At 35.3% G+C, this 13,616-nt stretch overlaps 1 protein-coding gene across 22 annotated transcripts in view; it reads right to left on the minus strand.

Annotated features, from left to right (window-relative positions):
- The window catches only part of TBC1D32 (TBC1 domain family member 32), a 255,236-nt gene that overhangs the window by 99,075 nt on the left and 142,545 nt on the right, over positions 1-13,616 (minus strand). The gene's annotated exons all lie outside the window — the stretch shown is intronic.

Raw genomic sequence — 13,616 nt, forward strand, 5'->3', positions numbered from 1 at the left:
CAGATTCTTAGGGTAGCCCCCAAGATCCCCACCTCCTGGTGCTCATGTTCTTGTGTGATCCCCTTTTCCTGAGTGTAGGCAGGTCCTATGATATGTCTCTAACCAATGGAGTATGGTATAGGTGATACAATGGATGTGATTACAAGATTACATTCCATAAGACTGTAGTGCTCTTCTTGTTGGGTGTCTCCTGTGCTAGGAGTTGAGGGCAACTTTCAATAGACAGCTGTAAGAAAGGACCTCCAGACTTTAGCTAGCAAGAAAATAAAGCCTTCAGTCCTAAATCTGTAAAGAACTAAACTCAGCCAACAACCTGTGTGAGTTAGGAAGCAGATCTTTCTCGAGTTTCACATGAGACCACGGCCACAGCCAACATCTTGATTTCAGCCTTGTGAGACTGTGAACAGAGGAACCAGCTAAGACGTGTCCAGACAAAAACTGAGATAGTAAACAGGTGTTGCTTTAAGTCACAAAGTTTATAGAAATTTTTTAATAGAGCAATAAAAAATAATACAAACTCCAACTTTAACACCTAAGCAATTAAAAGTATGATAATGCTATTTGGTTGATAAGGAGAAAACAATTGGAAATGGCAGGGGGGATACATATACACACATACATACATATATATACACACACACACTAAATATATAGATATTTACTTTACATATAAATATGTATATTTATTTTATATATGAAGACAAAAACATATATATATATGTATAGTTTGTGTGTGTGTGTGTGTGCATGTGTGTGAAAATTACATAGGTGGCCTGTAAAAAAAAAAGTACCAAAAATAAAACTCCAATAAATTTACTTATAACATACCAGCAATAACCAATGAAGCATTACCATGGAAGAAGAGACCCCATTAACAATAGCAAAAAATATAACAGATGATAATAAAACAAATGATAATAATAGACGATATAATATTACAGATGATAATACACAATATAAAAAGGACAGGATCTATATGAAGAAAGCTACAATGTATGACTGAAAAATGTGAAGAGTTCAATAAATAAAGTCAAAGCACCTACAGGATGAGAATGTTAAATATTTTAAAGACGTGCATTCTCGACTAACTTTATTTATAAATTTAAATAAACATTATGTAACAATTTAATCAAAACTGTACAAAATATTTGTGCAGAATGTAACAAAATAACTGCACTAATAATCTAATCTAACAGACACTTATCACTACTTATCAAGTGCTTACCATGTTCTAAATTTGGGAGAGTTGTAGTGTATTTAGTTTCATGAAAACTTGGTAAGAAACATACAGCTTTTGTCTCCATATATAAAAGAAACAGAGGCACAGAGAGGTTAAGGACCTTCCCTAATATCAGTCTTGCAATGTGCTTCCAGTGTCCATGCTCTTAACTGCTCACTGATATTGTCACACATTATAATATACACTGGGGAACATACTATCAAGCTAAAAAAATTAAATCCATGAAAGATATATGAGACTTCTACATAGAAAACTACAAAATTTTAATGAGGGTAATTAAAGAATACCTAATTAAACAGAGATATATGTCATGTTTATAGATTGGAAAACGGTATTATGCAGATGTCAATTCATCCACCATTGATCTCTAGACTCAATACAATGATAATTAAAATCTCAGCGACTTGGTTTATGTGATAAGCTGATTCTGGAATTTATATGGAAAGAAAAGGACTAAAAATAGCTGAGATATTTTTGAAAAGACCAAAGCAAGAAGAATTGCTCTATCAGTTATTTTAACTTATTACAAAGCTATAGTAACTAAAATGAAGTTCAAAAAGTAACAAAATTAAAATATATTGTTTAGTCAGACACACAGACCAACGGAACAGAATGAAGAACCCAGAAATAAATCTACACACTTACAGCCAACTCCTTTTTGACAAAGTTTCCAAGAACATACAGTGGGGAAGAAACACTCTCTAATAAATGGTGCTGGGAAAACTGAATATTCATATGTAGAAGAATGAAACTAGATCTTTCACCATATGAAAAGTAAAGGCTTAAAGACCTAAATGTAAAACCTGAAACTATGAAACTACTAGGAGAAAACGCTGGGGAAACACTACAGGACACTGATCCAGGGAAAGATTTTTTGGGTAAGCCTTCAAAAGCAAAGGCGACAATGCAAACGTAGACAAATGAGATTACATCAAGCTAAAAAGCTTCTGTGCAGTAAAGAAAACAGTGGACAAACTGAAGAGACAACCTGCTGAATGTGAGAAGATATTTGTAAACTATCCATACAATAAAAATTTAATAAGCATAATATATAAGGAATTCAAACAACTCAGTAACAAATAATGATAATAATAATAACCCAATTTAAAAATGGGCAAAAGATATAAACAGGTATTTCTCAAAAGAAGACATACAAATGGCCAAGAGGTATATGAAAAAATGCTTAACATCACTAATCACCAGGGAAATGCAAATCAAAACCCAAACAAGATAACATTTCACTTCAGTTGGAATGGCTATTATCAAAAAGACAAAAAATAACAAGTGCTGGTGAGGATGCAGAGAAAGGGGAACATTCATACACTATTGGTGGGAATGTAAAGTAGAACAGCCATTAGGGAAAAGAGTATGGAGGTTCCTCAAAAACTAAAAATATAACTACCATATTGATATGGTTTGAATCTGTGTCCCCACCCAAATCTCATGTCAAATTGTAATCCCCATTTTTGGAGGAGAGCCTGGTGGGAGGTGATTGGATCATGAGGGCAGATTCCTCCCCCTCCTCTTCCCGTAATAGTGAGTTCTCATAAGATCTAGTTGTTTAAAAGTGTGTGGCACCTCCCACTTCTCTCTCTCTTCCTCCTGCTCCAGCCATGTAAGATGTGCCTGCTTCCCCTTTACCTTCCGCCATGATTGTAGATTTCCTGAGGCCTCTTCAACCATCCTTCTTGTACAGCCTGCAGAACCATAAGCCAATGAAACCTCTTTTCTTTATGAATTACCCAGTCTCAGGTATTTCTTTGTATCAGTGTGAGAACAGACTAATAAACATATGATTCAGCAATCCCACTGCTGGGTATATATGCAAAGAAGAGGAAATCAGTATATCAAAGAAGTATCTGCACTTCCATGTTTACTGCAGCACTATCCACAATGGCCAAGATATGGAATCAGCCTAAGTGTCCATCAACAAATAAATAAAGAAAACGTAATACATTTACTAAACGGAATATTATTCAGCCATCAAAAAGAATGCAATCCTCTCATTTGCAACAACATCGATGGAACTGGACATCATTATGTTAAGTGAAATAAACCAGGCACAAAAAGGCATATATCACATGTTCTTACTCACATGTGGGAGTTTAAAAAGCAGATTTCATGGAAGTAGGGAGTAAAATGGTGGTTCACAATTACTCTGATTTGATTACTACACATTGTATACATGGATCAAAATATCACACATATCCCCAAAATGTGTACCACTATGACATATAAATGTAAAAACCCAAAAATATATACACTGTCTAGCAATATATGACTAGGTAGTAAAATATATATAAGTAAACCAAAGAAGTAAACATCATAAAAGTCAAAATAATTGTTACCATTAGAGGGAAGGGACAGAGTCATGACCAACAAATGCAAATAGTACTTGCAAATTCTCTGTTTACTTGATTGAGATTTCATGAGTATTTATTTTATAACAATTTGTTAAGTTGTATGTTTATATTTTATCACATATTTATATTTGTACTATTTCATTAAAAACTGAAGTGTTATGCTAGGGTAGGTAATGAGAAAAAGTATATATTATATCAACAAGAAGTCTAAATGGGTATGCAACAAATGAACAAACTCAGAATACTAATAAAAGAATGCATACTTTCATGATTATGTATAAAGATTCCTGTAAGATTTGATATCAGCTAAATGCCATTTGGTACTCAATTATGTAATCATCTAATAAACAGACTTAATGGCTCATTAATTATACCAGCATATTTGTATAAGCTAGCAGTTAGACTAAACATAGAAGGAAACAGCACTTGAGTAACAGAATTTATTATTTTGCTTAACCATAATATTAAGGCTAGGTTTACAAAGTGAATGGAAGTATACAGGTTATGTTATATCCACCAATCTAGCAAAATTACCAGAAAAATACATCTGAAAACATTCCTATTATTAGAATTATAAGCAACAAATTGTCAGGTTTTATTTTTGTTGGCCCCAACCCAAATTTCCCAATTATGAAAAAAAATCAGGTATGTATTTCACATATAAAGCAGGCTGAAAAAAAAAGTCAACAATTATCCGTGTTAAATCCAAATTAACAGGTAAATGGATACAAGTTTTAATGGTGTATTTTTAGATTTTTTTAATGAAAAAGATAAAGTATTAAAAATCATTTAAAGTAAATTTATATAAAGATATCAACAGTATATTAACAGGGAAATTTCAGAAAACAGAGAGAAAGAGACAGACTGTGTGTGTGTGTGTTTGTGAGTGTGTGTAAATACACCAGAGCATCTCTATGTATGTGTCTCTTAGGACACAGTTAGAAAAATAGACTAATTCTGTCTATCCCACACAAAAACAGTCTTACAGTAGGCATTATGAAGTTACTTTTATCAAGATTTAGAGAAGTTTCTGTACACCGAAGGAAAGACAGTAAAATTCCCAGCTGTTCCTTTATTCCCTATTTCATACAATGCTAAGCAGTGTTCAACTATTATTCCACTATTATAATTTTAAGGCTCTCAGAGGCTCCAAAAGTCTAGTACCCTTGAGGATACGGGATGATGTTTGAAGATGATAAAGACATAACAGTTTGTTTGCTTGCAGCAAAGCTTTAGAGGCACGGCAGGTGGCTAGAGGTGGGAAGTATCTAGACTCTTCTGGTAAGACTAGGAAAGCATTTGTACACTTGAGGTGATATTCAGTCAAGTGTCTCACCTCCCTTGAGTCAGGTTTATCAACTTTCTCACTTCACCTCAGGTGTTGAAGGCCAAGTCCTTATTTCTATTAGGCATCTTGTGCTACACATAAGTATGATCTTACACAAATAATTTTCACAGAAACCTATCATCATTACATCTTCTCTTCCCTTTTTGTAATAAGTGAATTAAACCTTCTGTGAAGAAATACAGAAATCTCTAAAATATATTACATAAATAAAATGGTCAAAATTTATGAACTGTATGTATACCCATTGGAAAGAAAAAAACATAGTACAAGACGTCAATGGAGAGTTGCAGAATTTCTCCAACAGTCTTCTCACAGCAATAAAAAAACTACCCATATGATTTTATGGCTGCTATCAAAACCCTCTGAAATACTAAACACAGACAATACACACTATGTGCTTCAGGGAACAAACTTCCCATATACACCACAGAAGCTGGAAGTATTGCTCAATCTGCCCAATGATCTTAGGTTTCCTTAAGCTTTACAATAGTGTATCTGTTCATTACATGTAACAAAAGACATCATCAATATAAAAATTTCTTCACAAGAGTGAATCAACACAGTCTCTATGACTGGGAAGATACTACTGACTTGGCCAAATGTGAATGTCAGAAACAGGTACTTTCACCAGGCACGGACAATGTATCTTTACCATTTTATCAAAATTTGGTCTAGGGTAGCCTTGATTGTCCTAGCAAGCCAGAGGTCATGATGAAAAACTACTTCATTGGTGATATAATATTAACTGGACTTAGGTGGGCAGGAAGTAGCTGGTACTCCATATGCTTTAGTAAAACAAGAATTCCAGAGGGTAAGTAATCCATAAAAATTGAGAGGCTTGCCATCTCAGTAAAGTTTCTGAGTTCTAGTAGCCTAGAATCACCTGTAAAATGCATGACAAATTGCTACATCTCACATTAACTACCACCAAGAAAATGGCATAATGCACGATTTTAGCCTCTTCCAATTTTGGAAGCAACTTCTCTAATATTTGGGTGTACTGCTCAGAACTACTTATGACATCACCTGTAATTCTGTCAACTTTATGACCTACAGCAAAAACAAATAAAAAACAAAACTCATGCAGCCTCCAAGTTCAGATAGTCTATCACTTGGACCTTTACTCCAGCAGGTTCAATGCTGGTCATGGTTTCAATGACAGATTGGATAGTACAGGAACTTCTGACAAGGTGCAATACGAGATCACACACAGATTTCTAGGATTTTGGAGTGAATCTATGTTCCCTTTGTTAAATAACTATTCTTATTTTGTGATCCTCAATTTGATAAACATAATTTTGAGCTCCCACCATCGTGGCCACTTTGCACATAATCCCATTCAAGCAAGCACTAGGGCAGCTGAGGAAAGAGGCCGACCTATCCATGAAAGGGATTATTTTGCCTCCTTTGCAGGAAGAGGAAGCCCTTGAAGAACATTCACAAGTCAAAATTATTCCCTCAACCTGTATGTATTCTCAGAGGACCATGTATATACTTTTTTCCACCAATCTTCTCATACTATTCTGTAAGTTTTTTTTTTTTAATTCTGAGCCCCTGACCATCTAGACCAACCATTAGCAATGGTCCATAAACCTATACAAATCAGTACCTGAAGTCTCATCTGTCTCCAAAGTAAATGAGTAGATATGCTACTTCAAAATTTTCCCTCTTTGAAAAGTAATCCAATTCTAGCAGGTACTAATATATGATACAACCTATAAATCAGATTTAGTAACCGTTTTTCTTCTCTGGTCACCTAGTTAGAGAAAATTTCCCATGAGCCAGAGGTATACGTTGTGAATGTGAGTCATATGCTCATACAATTCACTTGTGTTATCAGGGCTAATTTAAACTTATCTTACAAATGCCACTTTCACTTGATGATGGAGTGCTATTGTGCACATATAAACTATATTTTAGAAAGTCATATAATGCACAATGCCAGATTGGTTGCCAAATTTGTATAGGAAATATCTGTGAGTTGAACAATATGGATTCCCTTATCAGAGATGATCTGACTACAGCTATTACTGAACATCCAGATTGCCATAGGCAGAGACCAACCCTGGACTCAGAAGATAGTAAATAACCCTGGGGAGACCAACAAGCTACCTAGTGGCAGGGTGATTACATTAAAAATGCCTTCTTACACCATACACAAAACTTCACATCCTTGGCTACTATGCTTTTCTATCAAACATTATCTTACTATGGACTTTCTAGGGGTGATGGCATCCACAAAACACTGTTTCTGACCAAGAAACTAGTTTAACAATAAAAAAAAGTAAGGCACTGAGCAAATATTCACTGGTCTTATGATGTGCCCTAGCTCCCAGAAGCAGATGATCATAGATATTGGTGGAATGGCATGTTGAAAACTCAGTAGGATATCACGCAGGACACAACACCTTGGAAAACTGAGGTGCTGTCCCACAAAATGCTCTGAACTAGAAACCAATGTATGATGTTATTTCTCTTATACCTGTAATACATGAGTCTATGAACTAAAGAGTAGAAGGGAAAATGATTTTCTTTGGTTTTCTAACCCTTTAACTTTGTGAAGCGTAGCGAGAAAGTTGATGGTTTAGAGATCTTATTCCAAACTAGAGTACTTCTACTAGAACTGAAAATTTAAACTTTCTTCTAATGTTTGAAGCTTCTCATATTCCTAAATCAATAGCAGAGTAAATTAACTGCGTTGGCTAGAGGAATTGATCATGATTATCAATGAAAGAAAGACTGCTCCTATGCAATGGAGGCAGAGGTAAATAAAGCCTGGTGCCCCAGGGATGCTCTGTAGCACCTACTAGTACTGCCATATCTAGTGGTAAAAATTGATGGAAGACTAACGCAAACCAATACAGAGAAGATGACAAAGGGCTCAAGAACCTCAATAACAAAGCTTTAGATATAAAAAAACAAAACTTAGATATAGATAATATATAGCATCCTAACCAGTGGGGTTGTTTGAATTACAAGAGAAAACAGAATGGGAAGAAGGGGAAAAGTTATAAATACCCACTAAAGCCATACGTCCACTTATAGAGACAAAGACTGTACTAACTAACCATATTTTAAACTTTGCTCTGTTAAGTAAGCATTTATATATTAAAAAGGAAATTTATAATTTCCTTTTTCTCCATCTCTCTCCTGCTTTACGTAGGGTGTTGATTTTGTAATTTAGTCTGTAGGTTAAAGGATATGAAGATACGACTAGAACTAAAGTAACAAAGAAGAAATACCACCAAATAAATACTGATGGGACTCTAGATTTCCCTGTTAGGGAAGAGGGTAAGGCCATTTTTGTTGTGGAAGGAAAATTACACTGTATTAGCTGAAAGAATGTTACTGCTATTGCTGTTGACTAAAACTTTAATGCTCTGAGGTTTAAATGACTCAAAATATTCAAAGAGCTTAGAATGGTCCTGCCAACAGTAAGCACTCTTGTAACTACTAGATATTAGTACTGAATTATTATATTTTGTAATAACAATCTTGGGATAAATTACCACTAGATATATAGAAAAACTAAGCAAATGAGAAATAGGAATAAATGATTCCTTACTAATTCTAGAAAAAAAATTGGGGAAGGAAATAAAATATAATCATAATATATCTTTGAATTGGCAGTGAATAACATTTAACCATTTTTAGCACAGTATCCCTTCTCTCAGGGGCACTTAGTATCTCTGATTCATTATTTTTCAGAAGGCAAAACCCTCCAATGTTCTGCTTAAGCAGGAGAAAAACAGTCACTCAGCTAAATGGTGTAGGAATGCAGGAAATCTGAAAGCATAACTAAGTCTTATAATTGGAACTAGTCTTATTATTGAAAGGGTTAGACTTTCACCTAATCCTCTACTTTCATCTGCATTCTCAGTAGTGCCCTTAATTCTAGTACCTCTGGAATGTTGTAATATGCAAATAAGTAGCTTCTGAGTTTTCCCTACTGCCAGCTTGGGTTTTAGCTTTCCTGGCCTAATAAATCAGTTACAACTTGTCCATTGGTTTTTCAGCTCCTGAAATTATATTGTGGAAGCCTCCAACCCATTCCCACCTTGAAAAACTTCCTCCGTACATCTCTTCCTACTGAGAAAGTGGCTCCATGAAAACAAGGGAGTAAACCAAGATAGGTAATTGGATCCCAGGTAACAGGGGATCTAACCCACAAGAGAGAAAAGAAATTCCCAGGATGATGATGAAGGGAAATCCCATGAAGGCTGATGCTCAGGGCCAAAAAAAAAAAAAAAAAAAGTCCTACAGTACAAAGTGGAACAAAAGAATGTGATAAAAGGAAAAAAAATAGATTATCTGATGCCCTTTAGCTGGTTGAGAGTTTATGTTTTCACAAATATGAATAGGATATTGTCCCTGCCCTCAAGAATGTGAAAGCCTTGTAGTTATAAAACATAATTGGAAAGAATGATTGTGGGGCACCTTGACATATATTCTGTGAAGCAGTACAATATATGGGTTAGGCATTACATTCTTTGGAACCGGTCTATCTGGATTCAAATACCAACTATACCAACTACCAGTTTTGTCACTTTAATTGAATGGCTTAACTTCTCTGTGTCCCAGTTGAATCATTTGTTTTAAAAAACAAAACAAAACAAAGGAGATATTAAGAGTACCTACTTCATAAGTTTGTTCTGAAATTGAGTGACTCAAATATAAAACCAATACAAATACCTGAGACATAATGAGCACTATATTAGTATTATGCAGTAGCAGAGGTTAGCAGTATATTTTTAGGATAGTCTAGGGATATATTACTAGCATGTACTTTGAAAATAAAGTAAATGTAAAATATTATGTAATTATTAACTCCAAGGAAAGTAAAGTTTTAGGAAAAAGGATACATAGTCATAACATACTACTTAAACTACCAATAAATAATATTTATACAGACATTATAATGGAAGCTTTTAATAGAGATTTAATCAAGAATATGACAAAACTATAGAACAGAGAGAGAAGGAGAGCCAATGAAATCTAAGTCCTAAGCTTCTAAATCCCTAAAGATAAGAGATGAAGGCTGAAAGTTAAACAAATCAAGATAGTGTAAGCGTGTTATTTTTAAAACCTGGAGATGAATCCTCCCCCCAACAAAAACAAAACAAAATAAGGAATTAAAAGTGGCAGCCTCTGAGGAGTGGAACTTGGGAGTACAGTAGAATGAGTAGGGGATTACTCTTCATTCTTAAAAACCTTCCCATACTTTTTGACTTTTTAAAATATGTACATTTATTACTTCAATAAAAATAAAAAATAGTGGTTAGTAGACATCACACAGACCATGAACTATTATCTTCTCTAGCTGCTCTGCCAAAAAGATAAATGTGGGCTCTGGGCTGGAAGTGGAAAGGAACTGAAGCCACACAGAATCTGGACCTTTATTTGGCCTTTGCTCCAATAGATAAAACAAAAACAAACATATTTGTTTTCTAAGCTCTAAACTGTCTTTTTTAAAAAATTATTTTCACCTTATTAAATTTTATCTCTAATGTAACAAAACCGAATTAATATGATTTAATTGTTGTCATAAAGAAAAATATTTGAGGTAAATAAGTTATTTTGTTTTAAAGAAACAAATGCCAATTTGACATCCCAAAGAAGTTTATCTTGTTTACATTAAAAACCTGAAATAAAATTCCTTCTGGGTAAAAGATTTCAGTTTAACCATAGGAAACTGGCATTTTTGACATCCCAAAATGGAAGCGTACTCAGGAACAAATCACAGCATACTCAATCAGAACTTCAGGGCAAAGAATTATAACCAGGGTCAGTCCAGAGCCCTGAGACTCACAGGATTTCCATGCTGAACATTAAGACTGACACAGTGAGTCTAACTGAGCATTTCCAACAGATAATATATTGTTACATGATATTAATATTGTATTAGTATAATTTTATATTTAAATATTAAATATTATTATAGTTAATATTAATGTTCATTATATTGACCCTATAAACGTTTATATGTTTATATGTTATATCTATATATTATAAAATGTAAATACACTAATTAAGGGCTTCTTATGCACTAGAAAAAAATGCTTGTAACATGTTTGATTCTAGAGCCCCAAGTAGTTTACAGACATCTAATTTATCATCATAACACTATACACAGCTGCATAGCATGTCAGCATTACCCAGGAGACATCAATATATATTTGAATATGCACCAAAAACACAACTAGCATAACCTAGTTATAATCAAAAGAGCAGTCTAAGGACAAGATATACATATACCAGCTCATACTAACCATACTGTGAGCCCTCCCTGGGGTTTTCCCATCAGTCCTGAAGAGACTGCTAGGCCCAGAACATATACCCTAAGTAAGACAGGACACTAAGAATTTTGCACTTGATCCTCATGTCCAATTATGGAATTATGGACAAGATACATTGTTTTGCTTCAGATACTAAGGGGCATTCCCAACTAAATGCCCATTTTAGTGTGAAAATGGGCATTTAGCATCACTGCAAAGAGGTAGATTTTAAAACACCACACACTATATAATTTCTTTCTTTCTCCTAGCCCAATACAGACACACACACACACACACACACACACACACACACACACACACACACACACACACACACGACCCTCTCCGTCCCCCACCACCCTCCTTACCTCTCCTTCCCAACTTCCCGGCAAGCCTCCCGCTCTTTCTCTCACCTGACCTCCCTCCTTTCCTCCCCACCAGTTCCAACCTCCCTCCTTCCCCCTCCACCTCATCCTTTCCTCATTCCCCCTCCACCTTATCCTTTCTTCCTACTCTCCCATGCTCCCTCCTCCTCCTCTCCCTGCCCCCCACCGTTCTTCCCTCTGTCTTCCTTCCCACCTCTCCTCTGCACACATACCCCTTCCCCCCACACACATCCACTCTCTCTACCCCCCTACACACCCACTCTCTCTACCTCCACCCCACATCTACCTACTCTCCCTTCCCTCCTCACTATCATCTTCCCGCCTCTAATTTTATCTCTGGAAATGAAAATCAGTGTCTCCTTTATGTTAAATGCTTATTTGAACTATCTGGAGGAATAAAATAAACTGTAAGATGAGGGACTAGCCTTTTCATCTGTTTTGGGACATATTTTGGATATGGTGAATCCTCTAGGAGTTTACTTAAAACCCAAACCAAATCTCACCAGAAACATGATAACTCTCTGGTCTTAATTACTATAAACTTTTTATGTTGCTGTTAAAATATTATCACATCATTAATGTGTGGAGGCAGGCGTTTGTCTGGGGTAACGAATGATTCTATGAAGTTTAGTGTTAGCTTTCTATCATTTCCACTTGAAAGAATCCCAAACATGTTCTTGGTTTATCTCACAACTACAGTCATAAGCCCCTTCTCTTTATCCCGCCACTTTCTCCTAGTACTAATTTAATATATACAGGGAAGAAAAACATTTCTTTTCTATTAACAGTCTAAATAATTCCATCTATACATCACCATAAATTATACTTTTACAAACTCTAAGCAAATACAATGTGTGTATGCATATATATATATATATATATGCACACATATGTATATGTGCTTGGTTAAGATACATATGCATGTGTGGATATGTAATATACATTTACATGTACATATATACATATATTTGGATATATACACATATCTGCATATATGGAAATTTTTGTTATATACATGCATGCACACCCATGTGCACACATATGTATCTTACTTAACCAAACACATTTCATTCCCCTAACATAAAAGTTTTCCTTCTGATTGGCACACACAAAAGTAGCAGAAATGTAAATCGCAATTCCTTTTCTGTCTGCTATCAAAATCAAGAGAAGAACATAAATTACATACAGTAACCACACCCTCAAATCTGAAGCTTTCAATTTTTATTTTTTATTTTTTATTATACTTTAAGTTTTAGGAAGCTTTCAATTTTCAATACACATACAACCATATCTGGAGAAGAGAAATAGGGAGCAGGGTCAGCTTGCCGATAAAATTGTGTAAGAATTTACACAATTCTGCAAAGAATGAGCGGAGACTATAGGAGGCCTGCTCACTTACTCTATGTACCAAATTCAGATCTGTGTTTTAGAAAATGTTCTGGATTGCCTGCAGTTGGATATTAGTTGGAGCTTTTGTAAACACACAGAGTATGGTTTTCGGGCATGTGGTGATTAATACTAAGTGTCAACTTGATTGGATTTAAGGATGCAAAGTACTGATCCTGGTGTGTCTGTGAGGGTGTTGCCGATGGAGATGAACATTTGAGTCAGTGGGCTGGGAAAGGCAGACCCACCCTTAATCTGGTGGGCACCATCTAATCAGCTGCCAGCGAACACAAAGCAGGCAGAAAAACGTGAAAAGGCGAGACTGGCCTAGGCTCCCAGCCTACATCTTTCTCCTGTGCTGGATGCTTCCTGCCCTCAAACATTGGACTCCAAGTTCTTCAGTTTTCAGACTTGGACTGGCTCTCCTTGCTCTTCAAGCTCACAGACAGCCTATTGTGGGACTTGTGATCATGTAAGTTAATACTTAATAAACTACCCTTTATATATATATATATATCCTATTAGTTCTATCCTTCTGGGGAACCCTGACTAATACATATTTTGGTACCAGGAATGGTTCTAAAGGAATAGAATATTAAGGATGTTCTTTCATTGGTT

This window comes from Homo sapiens, chromosome 6 (assembly GCF_000001405.40).
Source record: "Homo sapiens chromosome 6, GRCh38.p14 Primary Assembly".
NCBI classification, from domain to species: domain Eukaryota; kingdom Metazoa; phylum Chordata; class Mammalia; order Primates; family Hominidae; genus Homo; species Homo sapiens.